This window comes from Homo sapiens, chromosome 16, assembly GCF_000001405.40.
Source record: "Homo sapiens chromosome 16, GRCh38.p14 Primary Assembly".
NCBI lineage: Eukaryota > Metazoa > Chordata > Mammalia > Primates > Hominidae > Homo > Homo sapiens.
In genome coordinates, this window is record NC_000016.10 from 89,948,214 (window position 1) to 89,969,154 (window position 20,941).

At 56.3% G+C, this 20,941-nt stretch overlaps 1 protein-coding gene and 1 non-coding gene across 30 annotated transcripts, besides 2 other annotated features; both read left to right on the top strand.

Moving 5' to 3' along the window:
* On the top strand, positions 542 to 19,847 carry DEF8 (differentially expressed in FDCP 8 homolog). 29 transcript variants are annotated; one of them, NM_001242820.2, is made up of 14 exons: positions 542 to 601; positions 1,204 to 1,300; positions 1,854 to 2,093; positions 6,030 to 6,163; positions 6,956 to 7,053; positions 9,298 to 9,447; positions 10,801 to 10,942; positions 12,718 to 12,882; positions 13,524 to 13,651; positions 13,799 to 13,912; positions 15,150 to 15,230; positions 15,957 to 16,097; positions 16,253 to 16,362; positions 17,648 to 19,847. In NM_001242820.2, the coding sequence occupies exons 4-14, from the start codon at positions 6,040 to 6,042 to the stop codon at positions 17,748 to 17,750; spliced, it is 1,356 nt and encodes a 451-aa protein (NP_001229749.1). In that variant the 5' UTR covers positions 542 to 601; positions 1,204 to 1,300; positions 1,854 to 2,093; positions 6,030 to 6,039; the 3' UTR covers positions 17,751 to 19,847. The 29 variants fall into 29 exon arrangements, with proteins under 29 accessions (NP_001229749.1, NP_997397.1, NP_001425885.1 ...); NM_207514.3 differs by lacking the exon at positions 1,854 to 2,093 and having other exon boundaries at positions 1,204 to 1,425; NM_001438956.1 differs by lacking the exon at positions 1,854 to 2,093 and having other exon boundaries at positions 1,204 to 1,425; positions 16,008 to 16,097.
* Positions 572 to 671: a silencer, noted in NCBI's record as "silent region_7934". NCBI's record gives its function as "represses an Ori minimal core promoter by ATAC-STARR-seq in GM12878 lymphoblastoid cells {active_cell/tissue: GM12878}" and the evidence as "EXISTENCE:reporter gene assay evidence [ECO:0000049][PMID:35858748]".
* Positions 5,164 to 5,307, top strand: SNORA119 (small nucleolar RNA, H/ACA box 119). Its single transcript, NR_145807.2, has one exon. It is a non-coding gene; the product is annotated as a small nucleolar RNA, H/ACA box 119 (small nucleolar RNA).
* Positions 5,610 to 5,899: an enhancer, noted in NCBI's record as "active region_11430". NCBI's record gives its function as "activates an Ori minimal core promoter by ATAC-STARR-seq in GM12878 lymphoblastoid cells {active_cell/tissue: GM12878}" and the evidence as "EXISTENCE:reporter gene assay evidence [ECO:0000049][PMID:35858748]".
* Positions 19,848 to 20,941: the final 1,094 nt, after the last annotated feature.

Genomic DNA, 20,941 nt, shown 5'->3' on the forward strand with positions numbered 1-20,941 from the left:
CTGTTCCTTTTTCCTCCTCAACCACTGAGGTTAAAAAAAGTGTTAAAAGCCACCCTTTTTGTTTTTTTGAGACGGAGTCTCGCTCTGTCGCCCAGGCTGGAGTGCAGTGGTGCGATCTCGGCTCACTCCGAGCTCCGCCTCCCGGGTTCACGCCGTTCTCCCGCCTCAGCCTCCCGCGTAGCTGGGACTACAGGCGCCCGCCACCGCGCCCGGCTAATTTTTCGTATTTTTAGTGGAGACGGGGTTTCACCGTGTTAGCCAGGATGGTCTCGATCTCCTGACCTCGCGATCCGCCCGCCTCGGCCTCCCGAAGCGCTGGGATGACAGGCGTGAGCCGCCGCGCCCGCCCATTTTTTTTAAACGTGTTGGGGTTTGGGTTTCAGCCACAGGCCTTCTGCGATGAGAGGAAACCCAGGACGCGCAGCCCCAGGTCAGGCCCGCGGAACAGCCGGGCGGACTCCGGGGCTCGCAGACTCGCGACCCGCGTGCCATGAACCTCCGCGCCGGAGGCGGCAGCAGCGAGCGCGGGGCTGGATCCAGCGTAGCGGGGCGGCCGGGCGGATCCAGCGCAGCCGGGAGACAGATGCGAGGCGGCGGTCAGGTGAGCGGCGCGGGGCCGGCGGGGTCGGGGCCGGCGGGGACGGGGCCGGCGGGGACGGGGCCGGCGGGGACGGGGTCGGCGGGGTCGGGGCTGGGAGGGACGGGGCCGGCGGGGACGGGGTCGGCGGGGACGGGGCTGGGAGGGACGGGGCCGGCGGGGACGGGGCCGGCGGGGACGGGGCCGGCGGGGTCGGGGCTGGGAGGGACGGGGCCGGCGGGGACGGGGTCGGCGGGGTCGGGGCTGGGAGGGACGGGGCCGGCGGGGACGGGGCCGGCGGGGACGGGGCCGGCGAGGTCGGGGCCGGCGGGGACGGGGCTGGGAGGGCGGCCCGCCCGGCGCAGGGGCCTCGAGACCTCGGCCGCCCCACCCCGGGGACGCCGCCGCTGCTCCGGCGTCCACACCAGCTGCGTGCGGAGCACCCGGGCGGCTCAGGGGACCCGCGTGGCCGTGCCCCCGCCCTGGGCTGCTCCGAGCCTCAGTTTCCCCCTCGGTGGAACGGGTGGGTGGGAGAGACCTGCCCCCGAGGAGCCCGGGAGACCGGGCGAGCTCCCGCGGGTGTGGTGGGTGGGGAGGCACAGTGCTGGGGTGGCTTCTCCCTGCAGCAGGTGCCGAACCCACGGCCAGGCTTCCGTGGCCAGCAGCCCTAGAGGAATGGCCATCCTGTCCCTGCGAGCCCCTGGGCCCTGGCAGGCGATGCAGGTATGGGCAGACAGGACGCTGTTGACTCCGCACACCGGGGTGACTTCTCAGGTTCTCGGGGTGGCAGCTGCAGTGATGACACCGCTTCCTGGTGGTCACGCCGCGGGCAGGACGCGGGAGGCCAGGTCCGTGCATCCCGCGTGTCCTGAGCTTCGGCCCAGGGTCCCTCCGTGCCCCGGAACCCCGCCGGCTTTCTTCGGCTTCCTTTCATTGCTAAGTTGTGGGGTCCTCCCCGATGAGAGCAGTGGGCTCTAGAGGAGGGGCAGGGGGTGGCCAGACCTCTTGCTTTCACTCTTCCACTTCCTGCCCGCTCCTTTCTGAGGCCAAGTCCCACATCTGGGTGCAGAACTGGTGGGGTGAGCCTGGTGAGAGGGGCAGGCTGGCGTTCTGCTCAGAGTCGGCCACTGTGGCCGGCATCCCCAGGTCTGTGTGAGCAGAAGCTAAGGCTGCGAGGCCAGCGGCCTCCCCTCATTCATCCCCTGCCCGTGCGCCAGGCCTGGGGCTGGCACTGACTGTCAGTAAATAGGCAAATAAAAGATGCCTTTTTTCACAGCCCGGAGGAGAGCTGGTAGCCTAGAGTACAGCTGCTGGGCAGAACGGAGGTGTCCCTGCCAGCGTGCCTTCCTTGACGCTCCTCTGGCCATGTTTTAAACACCAGGAGGTTTCCAGCGGCTTCCCCAGGCGTAGCTCCTGCACCTTTTTCCTGGGCTGGTCACCATATGTGATGACAGTGCCAGTCTGTTCTGAGCAGCTCTGGGCTCCTGGCTTCACTGACATCATAAACAAGTCCTTAGCCCTTCCATCCACCCCAGAAAGTAGGTGTTCCCCCTGATTTATAGGCAAGACAATGGAGAACCAGAGTCTAAATCAGGGCTGATTTTTTTTTTTTTTTTGAGATGGAGTTTTGCTGTGTTGCCTAGGCTGGAGTGCAGTGGCACAATCTCGGCTCACTGCAACCTCCACCTCCCGTGTTCAAGTGATTCTCCTGCCTCAGCTTCCCAAGTAGCTGGATTACAGGCATGCACCACCATGCCCAGCTAATTTGTTTGTGTTTTTAGTACAGACGGGGTTTCACCATGTTGGTCAGGCTGGTTTGAACTCTTGACCTCAAATGATCCACCCGCCTCAGCCTCCCAAAGTGAGCCACCACACACCGGCCATGATTCTTAAAAATAACAGTAATAGGCCAGGCATGGTAGCTCACACCTATAATCCCAGCAATTTGGGAGGCAGAGGCAGGAGGGTTGCTTGAAGCCAGGAGTTTGAGACCAGCCTGGGCATCAGAGTGAGACTCCGTCTCTACAAAAAGTTAAAAAAAATTAGCTGAGTGTGGTGGCACACACTGGAGTTCCAGCTACTTGGGAGGCTAATATGGGAGGACCCCTTCAGCCCAGGAGTTTGAGGCTGCAGTGAGCTGTGATCGCACCACTGCACTCCAGCTCGGGTGACAGAGCAACACCCTGTCTCAAAAAAAAGTAATAATGATAAATTATAATCAATATTTATTGGGTGCTTACTATGTGCCGGCCAGTGTTCTCTGAACTTAGTATTAACTACTTTAATCTTGACAATAACCCTGTATGGTACTATTGTAATCCCCATTTGAGACATGGGAGAATGGAGGCAGAGAAACGTTTATCCACTTACCCAAGGTCACACAGCTAGGAGCTAGCAGAGTTGGGATTCAAGCTGGACGTGTCTGTCTTGTTACCATGAAACTATTGGGATCATCAGTCAGAATCTTTTCTTTTTTTTTTTTCTGAGATGGAGTCTCACTCTGTCACCCAAGCTGGAGTGCAGTGGCTCAATCTCGGCTCACCTCCTGGGTTCAAGCGATTCTCCTGCCTCAGCCTCCCAAGTAGCTGGGATTACAGATGCCCACCACCACGCCCGGCTAATTTTTGTATTTTTGGTAGAGACGGGGTTTCACCAGGTTGGCCAGGCTGGTCTCGAACTGCTCACCTCAGGTGATCAGCCCACTTCTGCTTCCCAAAGTGCTGGGATTACAGGCGTGAGCCACCGAGCTGGGTCTTTCAGTCAGAATCTACTTTGGCCGCAAGAGACAAAAACCTCCCCTATAACACTGGTGGGAATATCGTATTTCTCTCACTTGAATGAAGTCTGGCTGTGAGCAGCTTAGGGCTCAGGTGCAGTCCCCTGCAATCACGTCACTCTCCCCAGTGTGGCTATTCCAGCTGCAGCCTTTACATCTGCATTCCAGGCAGCAGGAGGCAGGGATGGCTGAAGAGGGGCAGCCCCTACCTTTAAGGACAATTCTCAGAAGTCTTTTCTTTTTTCTCATATGTATGTATACACACACACACATATATATGTATATACACACACATACATATTTATGTAAAAAAGATTTTTTTTTTTTTTGATATGGAGTCTCGCTCTGTTGCCCAGGCTGGAGTGCAGTGGTGCGTTCTCGGCTCACTGCAAGCTCCGCTTCCTGGGTTCACGCTATTCTGCTGCCTCAGCCTCCCGAGTAGCTGGGGCTACAGGCGCCTGCCACCACACCTGGCTAATTTTTTGTATTTCTAGTAGAGACAGGGTTTCAATGTGTTAGCCAGGATGGTTTCGATCTCCTGACCTGGTGATCCGCCCGCCTCGGCCTCCCAATGTGCTGGGATTACAGGCGTGAGCCACGGCGCCCAGCCCATATTTGTATAAAATTTAATAGAGATAGGGCCTCATTGCATTGGGCCTGGCCGGATGCCGTCCTCCTGCCTTGGCCTTCCAGAGTGCTGGGATTATAGGTGTGAGCTACCACGCCCGGCCCATTACTGTTGTTTTCAGATAGCCCTGATTTAGTCTCTGGTTCTCCCTTTTCTTGCCTATAAATCAGGGAGAACACGTACTTCCTGGGGTGGATGGAAGGGCTAAGCACTTGGGTATGTCAGTGAAGCCAGGAGCCCAGAGCTGCTCAGATCTGCCTGATCTTCTCAAGCCGAGGGGGTCAGAACAGTCACTTTACCAGGTCTAGCTGCTGGGGAGGCTGGGAAATTATGTGACAAACAAAAATGAGGCTCCTCATTCAGGAAGAAGGAGGAGTGATGTTGGGATGGCCTGATTTCTCCTGTGTCCTGGGTGCTCCCTGGGAGACTGGGGAGGTGCTGGCATCGGGTGGCCGCCTCTGACTCTGTGACCCACCCACAGTCATCAGGTAATAAGAGAAGGAGGTGGGACTGGGGCCCACTCACGTTCCCTGTGTCTTCCCCGTGCCTCCCTGTTGGGGTCCACGGGCAGCCTGTCCATGGGTGCTTTGTCCTTTCAGGCTGGCGTGCAGGTGCCCAACCCACACTCCTGCCCCACAGGCACAACAGGCAGGACAGGCCCCATAGGTGGTGTGGAGTCTTGCCCAGTTGCAGGGCAGCCATGTGGGGTTGGGGTGGCCTCCTTATCCCACTGCCAGTGAGGCAATTAGTTCAAATCCCAGTTCTTCCAGGCCACAGTGTGACCCTGAGCAGGGCCGTCCCCTCTGGGCTCAGCTCTCTTTCTTTTGGGAGAAGAGACAGAGGATAAATCATAGGATTGATTATTATAATTGTGAATTATTTCAGACTGTAGCAGGTGTAGTGAAAGCATAACTAACACTGTAGCAGGTGTAGTGAAAGCATAACTAACACTGTTGCAGTTACTGAACAACTTTAAAAAGACATCTCCGACTTTCTATAACATCAACAGACCTTACAGCGAGCTTACTTTGTGCTCAGTCTCTGTTAACTCATTTCACCCTCACAATGGCCCATTACGGATGGGGAAATGGAGGCAGAGAGGCTAAGGAATGTGGCCCAGGAAGTTAAGTGGGAGGGCTGGATGCCAACTGCCTCTACTCCCACCCCAACCAAAGTCCCTTCCTCCCTGCCAGGAGCCATCAGCCCTGTGTGTTCTGCAGTGTTCTGAGCCTCCGGGTGGGGAAAGAGCAATTCTTGATCCTGAGCTTCTGCCACGTGGAGAACTAGGCCCTTCCGGCCTGTTTCCTGGGTTCCTGAGGCACAGAGCCGTGGGCCTGGTTCAGGTCGTGTTGCTCATCACAGGATCAGAACCCAGGCCAGAGAGCCTGGATGCATTTGTAGGGGGCTTCTCTGTGTGCTGGCAGGGAATCCTCCCAAGATCCCCTGCTCCTGGGCATGGGGAAGGTGGGCCCTGCTCACTCACCTGTGGCAGAGCAGGAATGGGCCCTGGAACTGTCCCCAAGTGTCCAACCCTAAGTCCTGAGACAGGGGCTGTGGTTTCAGGGTGCTCTGACAAGAAAGCACCTTTGCTTGGGGCCCAGGAAGGAGGAACCCATTTCTGAGAGGTGTGTCTCACATAGCAGGTGGATAGCAAGCTAGAGCGGGGCTGAGTGAGTATCTGGGGCTGAGGCCCAGAGAGGATCCCATAGGTAGCTCTAGGGCTGGAGCTCTGCAACATTGGGCAAGAGGACCCTGTGCTGGGAGGCAGGGAGCTTGGGCCCCTCAGATGGGCCACGTGCCCTCGTGGGACCCTCATTGTCACCGTGAGCTCTTTCCAAGGGGACGCCACCAGTGGGGGCCTGGGCAGGAGGCAGCTGAGGTGTTTCAGGAAAAGGCTGAAGATCAAGGCTGTGGTGTGAGGACTACCCACTTTAGGGAAGTGAAAGAGGCCAGCCTCACCCCAGACACCCCAGTGTGGTTGGGGAAAGGGGGTGGTCCGTGGTGAGCCTGGTACCTGGGGACTCATCCTGGCCCTGCCTGGCCCTCAGGTGGGATGCTATGGAATATGATGAGAAGCTGGCCCGTTTCCGGCAGGCCCACCTCAACCCCTTCAACAAGCAGTCTGGGCCGAGACAGCATGAGCAGGGCCCTGGGGAGGAGGTCCCGGACGTCACTCCTGAAGGTGGGTGCTGGTGGGAGTCAGGGTGGGAGCTGGGCAGGTCTCTGACTGCTTACGTGGACCCCTCCTTTCTTCCTGCCGCGTCCTGCGCAGCCCTGGCTTTCCCACGGAGCCGGCACCTGCTGGCTGTGTTCTTTTTCCCATCTCTTCTGTGGTCGTGTGGTTTGTTTCTGTGTCCCCACTAGAATTCACATTCCTGAGGGCAAGATTTGTGCCTGACCCATCACTGCTGCATCCTAGGGCCCAGCACATAGTAGGTGCTCAGGGAACACTTGCTGAGTGCGGTCAGCGCTGAGACCTGGTAAGGGAGAGGTTAGCCGAGGGAACGTGCTCTGGGCGTCAGGGTGGCATGAGCTTTAGAAACTGCAGATGAGGTCATCAGGGAGTGCTTGGAGCGGGGCAGCTGCAGAGACGGCCTGGAGTCGACACTGGGGTTCGTGGATTTTGCTGTGTAGCCATGCAGTGGTTTTTCTCTCGCCCCCGTGGTCACGCATGAGGTGTCCACCTTAGAAATGGGATGTCTCTATAATGCTGTCTTGAGGACTTTTGGCACCGAGTGTCATTCCACCTCCTCATTTTGAGTGGCTCTTTCCTGTCTACACAAGGCTGTGGGCTCCTCTGTGAATGCAGACTGGACGGTGTGCAGATCTGAGTGGTGCCCAGCTCTCACGGTGCCTCCTTTCTGTGCGGCTTCCTGAATCCCTTTCCCACTCCTGGCTATCTCAGCTCCTCCCTAGGGGATGGGAGGCAGGAGGTAGCAGCTGACGCTCCACACCTGTCCCCGTCTTCCTCCAGAGGCCCTGCCTGAGCTGCCCCCTGGGGAGCCGGAATTCCGCTGCCCTGAACGCGTGATGGATCTCGGCCTGTCTGAGGACCACTTCTCCCGCCCTGTGGTAAGGTTTTAGATCTCGGAGGGGAGAGGGACTGAGGGAACCCCCAAGGCAGGAAGGGCCAGGGTTTCCTTGTCACTCCCTCCCAGGTGGCAGGGCAGTGTCCTGTGAGCTGGGGTACAGTCTCACTCCATTGTCAGGCTCAGCAGCCCCCACCTCAGCCAGGGCTCCTGGCTTCGAATCTGAGGCCTGCATGACACCACAGACCCCCACCCTCAGAGCCTGAGTGAAGGCAGGTGGAGAGAGCCTGGGATTGGGGTTCATGAACCTGGGGCTGCTTCTGTCCCCTGAGCTCCATGTCTTCATGAAGCAAATGTGCAGAGAATAGATTCCCTCTGGGGTCCTTGAGGTCCTGTACACTTGCCGAGAGTCAGGGTGTGGGAGGCAAGGGGAAGCCCCTTGTCTGCCTCGTACTGACCAGTCGGTATTACAGGGCCACTCTTGTTTGTTCCGTGTTTTGTTCCATGGAAGCCTTGTGTTGAAGAAGAAAAGGGGGAGGATATAATGATTTTTTTAAAAAAGTTTGAGGCCGGGCGCGGTGGCTCACGCCTGTAATCCCAGCACTTTGGGAGGCTGAGGCGGGCGGATCACGAGGTCAGGAGATGGAGACCATCCTGGCTAACACGGTGAAACCCCGTCTCTACTAAAAAATGCAAAAAATCAGCCGGGCGTGGTGGCACATGCCTGTAGTCCCAGCTACTCGGGAGGCTGAGGTAGGAGAATGATGTGAACCTAGGAGGCAGAGTTTGCAGTGAGCCGAGACTGCGCCACTGCACTCCAGCCTGGGTGACAGAGTGAGACTCCGTCTCAAAGAAAAAAAAAGTTTGAAAACCTTTTATTTTTATGCAAACCATCTCCAACTTTTGAGGGAAACATTACGGCAACATTCAAATGTAACTTTGAAAGGATTTGGGCCAGACGTGGTGGCTCACGCCTGTAATCCAGCACTTTGGGAGGCCGAGGCGGGCGGATCGTGAGGTCAGGAGTTCGAGACCAGCCTGACCAACATGCTGAAACCCCGTCTCTACTAAAAATACAAAAAAAAATTTAGCCGGGCATAGTGGAGCGCCCCTGTAGTCCCAGCTACTCAGGAGGCTGAGGCAGGAGAATCGCTTGAACCCGGGAGGTGGAGGTTGCAGTGAGCCGAGATCGTGCCGCTGCACTCCAGCCTGGGCGACAGAGACTCCGTCTGAAAAAAAAAAAAAGAGGGAGAGACTTCATATATTTGTTTCGTATCTTATTTTTTTTCCTTTTTCTTGAGATAAGGTCTCGCTCTGTTGCCCCCGCTGTGAAGTGCAGTGGCGCAATCATGGCTCACTGCAGCCTCGACCTCCTGAGCCCAAGCGATCCTCCCACCTCAGCTTCCTGATTAGCTGAGACTACAGGTGTGCACTACAATGCTCAGATAATTTTTCATTTTTTTTTTATAGACACGGGGTCTCGCTCTGTTGCCCAGGCTAGTCTAAAGCTCCTGAGCTCAAGTGATCCACCCACCTCGGCCTCCCAAAGTGCTAGCATTATAGGTGTGACCCACTGCACTCAGCTTGTTTTGTATATTACAACATTTTGAGCACTTCCTTTGGGCCACAGGCTGAGCTGCAAGGGGGAGGGGAGGGTGCCACCTCCCCTTTGCCTGGGTCTCAGAGCCCAGCAGCCTGGAGGAGGAGGATGGCTCCTGAGGGCGGGGTCCAGGCTCCCCAGCACTGAGACCTGATCCTGTCTTCCCCGGGATCCCCAGAGTGTTCTGAGTCTGGGGCCTTGCTGGGCCGTGAGCCCCCTGGTCGCTATGTGGCGAAAGCAACCAGAAGTGCTGGGGCTGGCTCTCGGCATGTGCTTGGGCTTGGCAGTCAAGCTCGAGGCCACTTACTGTCCTTCATGACAGCAAATGTCCTTTCCCTAGCTTTCCTCCAAGAGGAAGCTCTTCAGAAGGAAGTGAAGTGACATAACAAAAAAGCATCTGGATTTCTCAAAGAAGGAAGTTGTCTTTTGAAAAGCAACTTTCAAACATTAGGTTTTCAGAGGTCTGTGGGCAGGCAGGTCAGGCTAGGAGCACGCAGCACCGGGTGGACCTTGACCGTGCTGCCACCTTTCCTGCCCTGGAGCAAGTCCTCGGTGCCCTCTGGGTTGAGTTTCCTTCTCTGGGTGAGGGGTGTCGGGGTCTGCTCTGGGCCTGTCTCGGCGGATGGGCCTTAACAGGGAGCTCCTGCAGGATGGGCCTTTGACTGCCCCCGCCCCCAACCTGGGCAGGGTCTGTTCCTGGCCTCTGACGTCCAGCAGCTGCGGCAGGCGATCGAGGAGTGCAAGCAGGTGATTCTGGAGCTGCCCGAGCAGTCGGAGAAGCAGAAGGATGCCGTGGTGCGACTCATCCACCTCCGGCTGAAGCTCCAGGAGCTGAAGGTGGGTGTGGGGCCGCCCCGCCGTGGGGCAGCCTGGGGCCGAGGCCAGAACTGTGGAACTAGGAGGACCCTGCCAGCCTCTGGCTCTCTCTCAGGCGGTGGTCTCTCTCTCGGCCTCAGGGGCTGAGGTAGAAGGGCACGAGACAGGCAGGGTGGAAGACGGGCCCTCACCCCACTGCGGGAGGTTTCCCTATTAGCCTAGACCCTCCTGTTGCAAGGAACAGAAACTCAACCCTGAGTAGCTTAAGCCAAAAAGAAAAATGTATTTGCTTGGTGACTGGAAGATCCTCCAGTGTCAGGAATCTTGCTCTCTTCCAACTCGACTTCCTGTGTCTGATCCAGCCTCAGGCAGGCCTTCCCTGTGCGGTGGCAGAGACGGTCCCGGCAACCACATCTTGCTTTCCAGGAGCTGAGCCTCCCTGTGCAGATGACAGCTGCCTTTTCACAGTGGTTATAGCAGGAACCTCAGGCCTGACTTTCATTGGCCAGTCCTGACCGGATGACAGTGGCTGACTGGCCAGTTCTGGGTCATGTGCCCACCCCTGACCCAATGACAGTGGCCGATTGGCTAGTTCTGGGCTGTGTGCCCGCCCACTGACCCAATGACGGTGGCCGATTGGCTAGTTCTGGGCTGTGTGCCCACCCACTGAAGCAAGCGGGTGGGCTAAGTAAGTTCCTCCCTGAGTGAGCCACATGGACAAGGACGGGTGGTGTCTTGAAGGTGACAACAAAAGAAGGTGGTGGGTCCCAGGCCACAGATGTTCCTGATGCAGTCCTTGGGTCTGTGTGTGCTTTGGCCTGGCTGCCCTGTGTCCCCTGTGCTGATTCAGGTATCCCTGGGAATGTAGAAAGTAGAATATTCATGAGGAAACAGGTAAATTGGTGGTAAGAAAAAAAAACCCCAAAACATAGTGGCTTAGAGAAGATGTGTTCGTTTCCTCACGTAAAAATCCCATAGGTGGTCTGGGGCCTCTATGACAGCTAATGGTGTTGGGGAGGGCCTCCTTTTCCATTGCCCTGCACCTAACCGGCAAAAAGCAGGAGGGGCAGAGAGGCCGGGTCGCTCCCGCTCACATGCCCATGGCCCGGTGCAATCCCACACAGCCCCTCGCTGCAAGGGATGCTGGGAAAGGTCGCAAGGGATGCTGGGAAAGGTAGCATGTGACCTTGGCGGTCCTTGTCCAGCTGATCATTGTTTACTGTGAAAGGGAGAAAAGGGACATGGCATTGTGCTGAAACTCACAATCTCTGCCCTAAATGGTGCCTGGAAGAAATAAGTTGAGGGGCTTGTGCGAAGGGAAAGGAACTTCAGCCCAGCTCACCTGTGACCCCCTCCCTGACTCACCCTCTGCAGGACCCCAATGAGGATGAGCCAAACATCCGAGTGCTCCTTGAGCACCGCTTTTACAAGGAGAAGAGCAAGAGCGTCAAGCAGACCTGTGACAAGTGTAACACCATCATCTGGGGGCTCATTCAGACCTGGTACACCTGCACAGGTGGGCCGAGACCCAGACGAGGAGTGAGGAATGAGAGAGACCAAAGTTCCTGCCTCCGCTGGGCTCACATTCAGATGTGAGCTATCCAGTGTGGTGGCCACTAGCCAAACATGGCCAGTCAAAGTTAAATTAACTAAATATGCATTTCCTCGTTGTACTGTCTACATTGGACAGGGCTGTTCTGGATGAGAAATTAAACTAGTGAATTACATGGTGTGTCTAGTTTGTACAATGAAGAAAAAGGGAAAGGACCTAGCACGTGTTAGGGTGGAGTGAATGTGACTTTAGGGCAGAATGTAAAGGCATCACGTGACTTTGTTTTTTGTTTTTGTTTGTTTTTGGTTTGGTTTTGTTTTTGAGACGGAGTCTCACTCAATCGCCCAGGCTGGAGTGCAGTGGTGCAATCTCAGCTCACTGCAAGCTCCACCTCCCGGGTTCACACCGTTCTCCTGCCTCAGCCTCCTGAGTAGCTGGGACTACAGGTGCCCGCCACCACGCCCGGCTAATTTTTTGTATTTTTTTTAGTAGAGACGGGGTTTCACCGTGTTAGCCAGGATGGTCTCTATCTCCTGATCTTGTGTTCCGTCCACCTCGGCCTCCCAAAGTGCTGGGATTACAGGCGTGAGCCACCACGCCCAGCCGGCGTCACGTGACTTTTAAGCAAAAACTTGAAGGTCAGGGAGCAAGCCAAGACAATATGTCTGGAGGAATGTTCTGGTGGGGGCAGCCCTGTGGTTGATGTGTCCAGTGCCTTAAGGAGGAGCAGAGAGCCAGGTGTGGCTGCAGCTTTGTGTCTGGAGGACTGTTCCGGTGGGGACAGTGCTGTGGTTGATATAAGGAGGAGCAGAGAGCCAGGTGTGGCTGCAGCTCTGTGTCTGGAGGAATGTTCCGGTGGGGGCAGCCCTGTGGTTGATATAAGGAGGAGCAGAGAGCCAGGTGGGGCTGCAGTTCTGTTTCTGGGGGAGGTGGGCTCAGAGGTGGCTGGGGCTTTTCTTTAAGTGCAGTGGGGGCCACAAGTGGGTGCTGGACATACTTGAGCTTTAATAGGTTACTGTGGCTGCTGACTGAGCTTGGACTGAGAGGGAGGTGACTGAGAAGAGGGGGATGACTCTGATTGGGCTGGGGTAGGTGGTGGGAGTGAGGAGTCGCTAAGGGCAGTCCAGCTGAAGGTTTGGAAACGGAATGTAACAGATTAGAAAATAGTCTGACTGAGTGCGGTGGCTCACGCCTGTAATCCTAGGGTTTTCCAGTGCAAAGATGGGAGGATCGCTTGGGCCCTGGAGTCTGAGGCTGCAGTGAGCTCTGATTGCACGACTACACTCCAGCCTGGGCAAAAGAGCAAGACCCTGTCTCTTAAAAAGTACAAAAACAACAACAACAAAAACAGAGAGAGAGAAACCCTTCAGGATAACTCATGATATTGAAAGGGTGGAGCTGCTGAAACCGAGATGGGGAAGCTGAGGGGCTTGGGGTCGGGGGTGGGAGTTTCGTTTGTTACATTTGGACAGGTTGGGTCTGGTGGTGGGAGTGGCAGGTTGGCCCCAAACATGTGAGTCAAGTTGGAGGACAAGGTCTGGGCCACCTTTGGGGCAAGGCTCAGGGGCCAGGGAGAAAAGGATCTTTGAGGTTCTAAGGCCTCCCTTGGTGCCAGGAGGTCTTAGATTGATCTGGGCCTCAGAGTGGAACCCACGGGGAGGGGGCAAGCCAGCTGAGGGTGGCCTGGGCTGCAGGCGCACCCTTCCCGCTTTTGAGAAGTGTGTGTCCCTCCACCCTAGGGTGTTATTACCGCTGTCACAGTAAGTGCTTGAACCTCATCTCCAAGCCCTGTGTGAGCTCCAAAGTCAGCCACCAAGCTGAATACGAACTGAACATCTGCCCTGAGACAGGGCTGGACAGCCAGGATTACCGCTGTGCCGAGTGCCGGGCGCCCATCTCTCTGCGTGAGTGGTGGCAGGGAGAGAAGAGGGTGAGGGAGCTGTTCCTGGCGGGGAGCCGGGTGCACAGGTGTGTAAGGGCACGTAAGTCAGACAGTTGAGTGAGGCCCTGGGGCAGTGCCTGCTTGATATCTTTAGGAAGTGACAAGGGTCTGTTGCTGCCATTGTTTCATTTCTCACTGAAGCAGACTGAGGTTCCAGCCGTTCCGTGACTCACCCAGGTCACTGAGGAGCACCTGGAGGGCTGGGACCTGGCCTCCGCCTCCCCGTGTGAAAGCCTCATAGATGAGGACTAGGGAGAAGTCACACAGCACAGAAAGCCTCATAGACGGGGTCTAGGGAGAGTACACGGTTGTCGCCCAGTTGTGCACATGTGCGCGTCAGCTCTTCTTTCTAGAGAGTTGCTGGTGTTAATTCATGAAGTCCCTGCCTCGGTCCTACAGTGAGGCCCTGTTTATATCCCATTTTACTGATAAGAGAACAGGTCAGTGAGACGCTGGGACCACCTGAGGTCTTCCGGCTGAGGATAGGACATGTTCCCATGTCTCCCCGAGGGCTGTGGTCCATGGGAGGACAGACCATGAGGCTGGAAAGCTGTGTGGGGTTTTTGTGAGGCAGGGACACTCAGGGCCCCTCTGACCCTGCAGGGGGTGTGCCCAGTGAGGCCAGGCAGTGCGACTACACCGGCCAGTACTACTGCAGCCACTGCCACTGGAACGACCTGGCTGTGATCCCTGCACGCGTTGTACACAACTGGGACTTTGAGCCTCGAAAGGTGGGGGTTGGAAGGTGGGGGCATCCCCCTGGGGAGGGAGAGCAGGAAGGGGGTTGGGGTGTGGAGCCGGTGTACCCCTGGTTGGGTGTTGCCCGCTGCACGGGCCCTGGGTGGGTGTGAGAGGTGTCACCCGGCCGTGCCTGGCAGGTTTCTCGCTGCAGCATGCGCTACCTGGCGCTGATGGTGTCTCGGCCCGTACTCAGGCTCCGGGAGATCAACCCTCTGCTGTTCAGCTACGTGGAGGAGCTGGTGGAGATTCGCGTGAGGCTGGGGCCATGGAAGTGGGGGGCGGGGGCGCTGTGTCAGGTGGGCCCTAGGGCCGGGCCAGTACCCTCTTCTCCTCTGGGCCACGGGAGGTTCTGAGCAGAGGAGGGAGGCCACCTGCTTAGGGTGAGCCAGGCGCCGCGGCTGCCCTTTTGGTTGAAGGTGCTGGAGCGGTGTCCCGTAGTGATCTGATGCCAGGTGTGAACACAATATTAAATTTTGTAATAGCCACGTTAAAAAAGTAAAAAGAGCTGGGCACGGTGCTCACACCTGTAATCCCAGCACTTGGGAGGCTGAGGTGGGTGGATCACTTGAGGTCGGGAGTTTGAGACCAGCCTGACCAACATGGTGAAACCCCATCTCTACTAAAAATACAAAATTGGCCGGGCATGGTGGTGTGTGCCTGTATCCCAGCTACTCGGGAGGCTGAGGCAGGAGAATCACTTGAACCCGGGAGGCTGAGGTTGCTGTGAGCCGAGATCGCGTCACTGCACTCCAGCCTGGGCAACAAGAGCGAAACTCTGTCTCAAAAAAAAGTAAAAAGAAACAAGTGAAGTTAATGTTAATAGTATATTTTATTTAGCCCAATATATCCAAAATGTTATTTCAACATGAAATCAATGTACATTTTTGAGATATTTGCTTTCTTTTTCTTTTTTGTGCCACGTCTTTGGCTCCAGCATGTAGCCTCTGCTAAGTCTCACTGCACAGCGGCCACTTTGAGGTGCTCTGTGGCTGTGCAGGGCTGGTGGCCACTCTCTTAGCCAGCGGTGAGGGAGGAGGTAGGGCGGGAGCCGAGGGCAGACGGGAGCTGCAGTCCTGGCAGGACATGATGGCGTCTCACGCCAGGTAGTGAAAGGAGGCAGGTCCCATTTTACCCGGGAGGAGACTGTGGCAGCACGTTGAGTTGCCAAGGCCAGGGCTGGGGAGGCAGCTGGGATTTCTCCGGAAGTTTGGCTTGGTCCTGAGGCTGCTGGTTCCTAGACAGTTGTGTGCCTGTGGGGCCGGGTGAGGGCAGAGGGAAGGGAGGGTTTTCTGGACCACGGTAAGTGAGCCTCACGGTCCTGCCCAGCCTGGGAGCTGTGATTTTGGGTTTTGGTGAAGCACTCAGATCTCGGCCCTTCGTGGGGAACCAACCCCTCCTGGCCCTGCCGTGGCCCCGGGTGTGCGGCCCACACAGGGGCCGCCCTGTGTCCTGGCTGAGGAGGCCTGCCTGCTCCCGCCTTGTTTGCAGAAGCTGCGCCAGGACATCCTGCTCATGAAGCCGTACTTCATCACCTGCAGGGAGGCCATGGAGGCTCGTCTGCTGCTGCAGGTCAGACTGCCAGCAGGACTGGCCCCCGATGGGAAGCGCAGCCAGGGTGGTGAGGCACCTCAGGCTCAGGTTTTTTCCGGACAGCTTGTGCGTGGAGTGCCTTTAGCAGAGGGTCGCCTCACCACGGTCCCAAGGAACAAAGCAAACAGGTGTTCTGCCTACAAAAGAGTTCTCCAGTCAGTTCCGTTTGGCAAACCCTGCAGCCCTTATGTGAATCTCCATGGGGTGGGTCCAGCCCAGCCCTCGTCAGGCAGGTTGACCACAAAACACAGTTTTCAAGGTTCATCTAATTATGTGCTCAACAGATACAGATGTTCTAGATTCTGGAACAGTGAACGAAACAGACAGGAATGCTTGCCCTTAGTGCCTTTCAAGTAGGGAAGACAAGAAAAATACGTTGTGTGCTGGGGTGGTGAACTCTGTGACAAGATAGAGAAGGAAGGGTGGGGAATGTGGGAAGCGTGGGGAGTGCGGGGATGCGGTGTGGCTGGGAGGGGCTGCCTTAGGGAGTGGAGGGCGGGGGGCTACACAGGTCAGGAAACGTGGCCCGGGTCCATCTTCCCCTGTCGGCTTCCTGGGGCTCCTGGATTCTACTCCTGGGGCCCAGACCCTTGTGTAGCTCGTTTCTCTGTGAGCACCTGGGCCCTGACCACTGCAGCGACCATGGGTGGGCGGTGGGAGGGGCCCTCCCCGGTGCAGGGCGTCACGGCTGCTGGGACTTGGCAGCTCCAGGATCGGCAGCATTTTGTGGAGAACGACGAGATGTACTCTGTCCAGGACCTCCTGGACGTGCATGCCGGCCGCCTGGGCTGCTCGCTCACCGAGATCCACACGCTCTTCGCCAAGCACATCAAGCTGGACTGCGAGGTGGGCCTCTGCCCGAGGGCCGCTCTTCTCCAACCCCAGCCCTGAGGGGGGATTGGCAGGAGAAGCAGCCCAGCCCAGTGTGTCCCTGGCCTCAGAGTGCCCAGAGGAGCTGGCACTGACGTGCCCGTGCCCCAACCCCACACTGTTCCCCCCAGCGGTGCCAGGCCAAGGGCTTCGTGTGTGAGCTCTGCAGAGAGGGCGACGTGCTGTTCCCGTTCGACAGCCACACGTCTGTGTGCGCCGACTGCTCCGCGGTCTTCCACAGGTGGGTGTGGCCTGGGCCCCGCACTCGGGGGCTGGGGCTCTGCGCTGTCCTCTGGGGAGCTGCCCCTTGGCCTCCGGTAGGATGATGCCGTGGGAGCTGGCACTGCTCCCCCGAGAAAGGGGAGACATAAAGACTCTTTGGGTCTTTGCTGACCCTGAGATATGAAGTCAGACCCTGATGTCTGTGACTAAATGAGAAGTTCCCTTAGGAGCGGCACCTGGGGGATGAGGGGGCTGCCCCTTCCCAGGTCCCTCCCGGACCAGCCCCTGAAACTCCAGCTTGGTCTCTGATGTGTTCACAGCATCCCAGCTGCTCCCTTTCTCTACTAGGATTGAAGTCACTCTTTCAGGGTTAGTATAGGCTAGAGATTCCCAAACCTATAGTTCCTGCCACCCTTTAATGTCTCAGTAATTTTTTCAAAGTGTTTCTAAGCCAGAAGAAATTCCTAACACTTTGATTTATTAAGTACTTATGCTCTCGCGTTTTTTTTCCTAGCCGCTAGACCAACAGGGAAAAATACTTATGTTCAAACAACTTTATAAGTATTTGTATCCTAAAGATTGAGTGGCTCTTGGAAAAATAATGTACACAAATTAGAAGAAAAATATTTTAATTTCATTCTTCAGTAAGTATGATTACTTACTAATGATATGGGTACACCTTTTGGGCCTCACACATCTTCCAGACCTGGAATCAGATGGACACTCCCCCCCAGTTTCTGTCCCCTGATTTTTGCCTGGAATTTGCTATTTTTCATAGCAACTGCTGAAATCCCAGCTCTACAGAGCGATGGTGTCACACAGATGGGACTGTGGCAGAAACTAAGGTTGAGACTGAACTCGCTCGAGCTAGTCGTTTGCTCAGTGTCTGACAGGTGTTAATTACTGCTACGTTCTGTTTAAAAGTTTGAACTAGGCTGCGGTGCCCCAGGGTGCCGTGATGTACAGTTTGGGAGCCAGGGGAGGGATAGGAACAGGTGGGAATCGTGAGGAAGGGCTCTGAGTCGAGTCTGGCGTGGCCACCTGGCTCAGCCCCTCAGCTGTGTGAACTGGGACCTGTGTGGTTGGGGGATAGCAGGTAGCGTGAGGACCCCTGGAGGTCCACATCTGCACGCCCGTAAGCGCTCTGCACACGGCCATACAGTCACTTGCATCTGGCTGCAGACTCCGACTCTGCCCTTTGGTAACGGCTGTAGAGGGGATGATAGGAGCTGACCTAGGACGCTTGGGGGGATTCAGTGCTGGAGTTTCCTGTGCAGAGAGCCCCGACCTCTTTCTGCCCCCAGGGACTGCTACTACGACAACTCCACCACTTGTCCCAAGTGTGCCCGGCTCAGCCTGAGGAAGCAGTCGCTCTTCCAGGAGCCAGGTCCCGATGTGGAGGCCTAGCGCCGAGGAACAGTGCTGGGCACCCCGCCTGGCCCGCCAGGACCCACCCTGCCAACATCAAGTTGTTCCTTCTGCTCCGGAGACCCCTGGGGTGCGGCCCTGGCCCCCTCCACCCCTGCTGGGCCAGAGCGGGTGGGCAGTGTCAAGGCCCGCTGTCTCCCAGGTGCTTGCTGGGACTCGGGGCGGCTGCACCTGGCTGTCACCTGGGTGTGCTGCTGTGAGGGGTCCTTGCGTGGCCCCCATCCTTCCCCCAATGCAGAACTCCATGGGCAGGGAGCTGGGGGGACATCTCACCTCCCCCATGGCACAGAGCCCTCCACACCCCTGGACCAGGGCATCCGGGCCCTAGAAATTCCACAGCTCCCGTCCTGGCCACCCTGGAAGCTCATCAGGCCAAGACCCGGACAGAGCTTCAGAGGAGTGTTGAGTGACACCTGAGGATGCGGCTGCACACACTCAGCCAAGGGCCGAGTCTCACCTGCGGTGGGGTGTCGGCTCTGCCTGGGGGCTCCATCCCTTTCAGCCACTCGTGGCCTTGGGGATTTCTGGTTGTCCCCAGCTGGGACTGTTCACAGTTGTCACCTGCAGACCTGCCTCTCCCTGGCCTGAGGTTCAAAGGCCTCATCGGATGGTCAGTACAGTGGGGTCACCTGTTGTTTCTATACAACAGCAGGGAAGGGGCCATGGAGCTTTTCCCTGCTGGGTGCTCCTGCTTTGGCCCAGCCCACCTTTCCTGGTGCTCCAAGCTAGGAGGCTGTGGCCCCAGCCTGAGGAGGGTGTCCTGGCCTCCAGGTGTGCAGCAGGGGCTGTGTGCTGGGGGAGGTTCCAGTTAGGCGATGGGATCCTGCAGTGGTCTGGTGGCATTTCTTGGAACCAGATTTACCTGAGGAGCTCTGTCCTGCTCCCTGTGGAGGGCTCCAGATAGCTCAGAAATGACCAGCCAATGGCCTTTTGTTTGGGGGCCTGAGGTCAAGAGAGCTGAGAGTATTCGCTCGACTGAGCACATTCAGGAAGATCAGGGCAGGCGTGTGGGAGGTCCCTCACTCCACGGGACAGAGGCCCCTGGGCAGCAGAGGAAACCTACAGCTCTGGGTGAGGGGACACTTGGCTTTGGTGTTTGCACTTTACAGATCCTGCGGTCCACGAGGGGCCTCAGGAGAGGACGTGTCAGGACGTGGCTTCCCAGCCTTCTGCCTTGGGCAGTGGGGGTGCTCCTGTCTGTCCTTTTCCCCCACACCCTGGACTGTGCTTGGCTGTTGGTGCACATGGTTGGCACACGGTGGGCAGAGGGCAGAGAATGCCACTGCTTGGTTATTGGTCCCCTTTGACCAGGAAACCCAAGAGGAGACACCTCAGTCAGCAGAAAGGCCACCTGGCTCACTGGCTCATTCCAGGAGTGGGAGAGACGGCAGGGTCTCCTCTTTGTCCTCCGGCATCAGGAAGGGGATGGTGTCCACTCCCCACTGTGGTGGCTTTAGGCAAGGTTCTTATTGTCTGCTCTGCCTCGGTTTCCCCATCTGGAAAATGGGGGCAGGGGTCCTGACCTACCTCAGGTGGAACGGTGAGCAGGGAACATGTCGGAGTCCTTCAGAGAATGTGATGTGAGGTTGGATCAACAGTGTGGGTTCCTGTCCTGTTTCCCCTTCCTCTTTGGGGCTGAGGAGGAGGTTAAAGGCCAAATGCTGTTTCCCAACACCCCAAAGTCTGCACACGTCTCATGAATGCATCACATTTCTGTCATATGGATATTAGCCATTCCGAAATCTGTGTAATCAACTTCACATTATTCAAGTTACAAATCACTGTGTCCATAGAAAAACTGTGCTGGTATTTGCTGGACAAAGGGTTGGGCCCCTTTTATTTTTACCTGCCACCCAGCATCTCCCCCACCTGCCCCTTCTGGGTGACACAGCCGGTAAACGGAATCACGTATGGTTCTTTCTGTGGGTCTGTGGCACAGCAGGAAGAGCCCGGTGCCGCCAGCACCTTGTGGAAGACCACACATGGGTGGTCCCACAGCATGGGACCAGGCTGGCCTGAGGGATGCCCAGTTGTAACAATGCTGCTGTCACTGTCTCATTAAATATACATCCTTTAGCCTGGTGTGTGTGTGGTGAATTGCGGACAAAGTAAGAGAAATTGGTCTGTTGACATACAAGTCATTTGCAGGCTTAGGAAAGACAGCCTTTGCCATCCAATGGGGTTGAATGTAATCTGGTGTGAGGCGAAGTAACATGTCCTGATTGGTTGGGAGAACTACCTGTGGTATCACACAGACGTGTTGAACGTCTCTGGGCCCAAGCTGTTCTCCGGCCTCCGCCTCCCGGGCCCAAGCTGTTCTCCGGCCTCCGCCTCCCGGGCCCAAGCTGTTCTCCGGCCTCTGTCTCCTGAGTAGCTGGGACTACAGGTGCATGCCACCATGCCCAGCTAATTTTTTGAATTTTTATTAGAGACAGGGTTTTACCATGTTGGCTAGGCTGGTCTCAAACTCCTGACCTCAGGTGATCCTCCTGCCTCGGCCTCCCAAAGTGCTGGCATTACAGGTGTGAGCCACGGCGCCTGGCCAGGCATTGATTTTTCTTAGTGTCCGATGTCCTTCCAGAAGGACATTCCCACCAGCAGTGTATGACAGTGCCCATTACCTATAGCCTCGACAGCAGATTGTGTTGTCATACCTTTCAATGCAGTGTGAGAAATGTATCTCTGTCATTTTAATTTGCATTTCTCTAATCATGAGTGAGGTCAAACTTTTCATATGTTTCAGGATCTATTTATGAATTATGTGCCCATTTTTTCGATTGGGTTCTTGGTATTTTTTCTTCTTAATCTGAGTTTCTCACATATTGGGAATATTAACCTGTTATTTGTGAGATGGAAATATTTTCTTTGTGAATTGCCATTTGACTTTGTGTTATTTTCTTTCCTATGGCAAAGTTTTACTTTGCTTACATTTTTATATGGTCACATTGATTAATATTTATTTCATCTAGGTTTTAATGTCTGGAAGGGCTAGTCTCCCCTTTGCAATTTTTCTTTTCCTTTTTTTTTTTTTTTTGAGATGGAGTCTCGTTCTGTTGCCCAGGCTGGAGTGCAGTGGTGTGATCTCGGCTCACTGCAAGTTCTGCCTCCCAGGTTCATGCCATTCTTCTGCCTCAGCCTCTGAGTAGCTGGGACTACAGGCGCCTGCCACC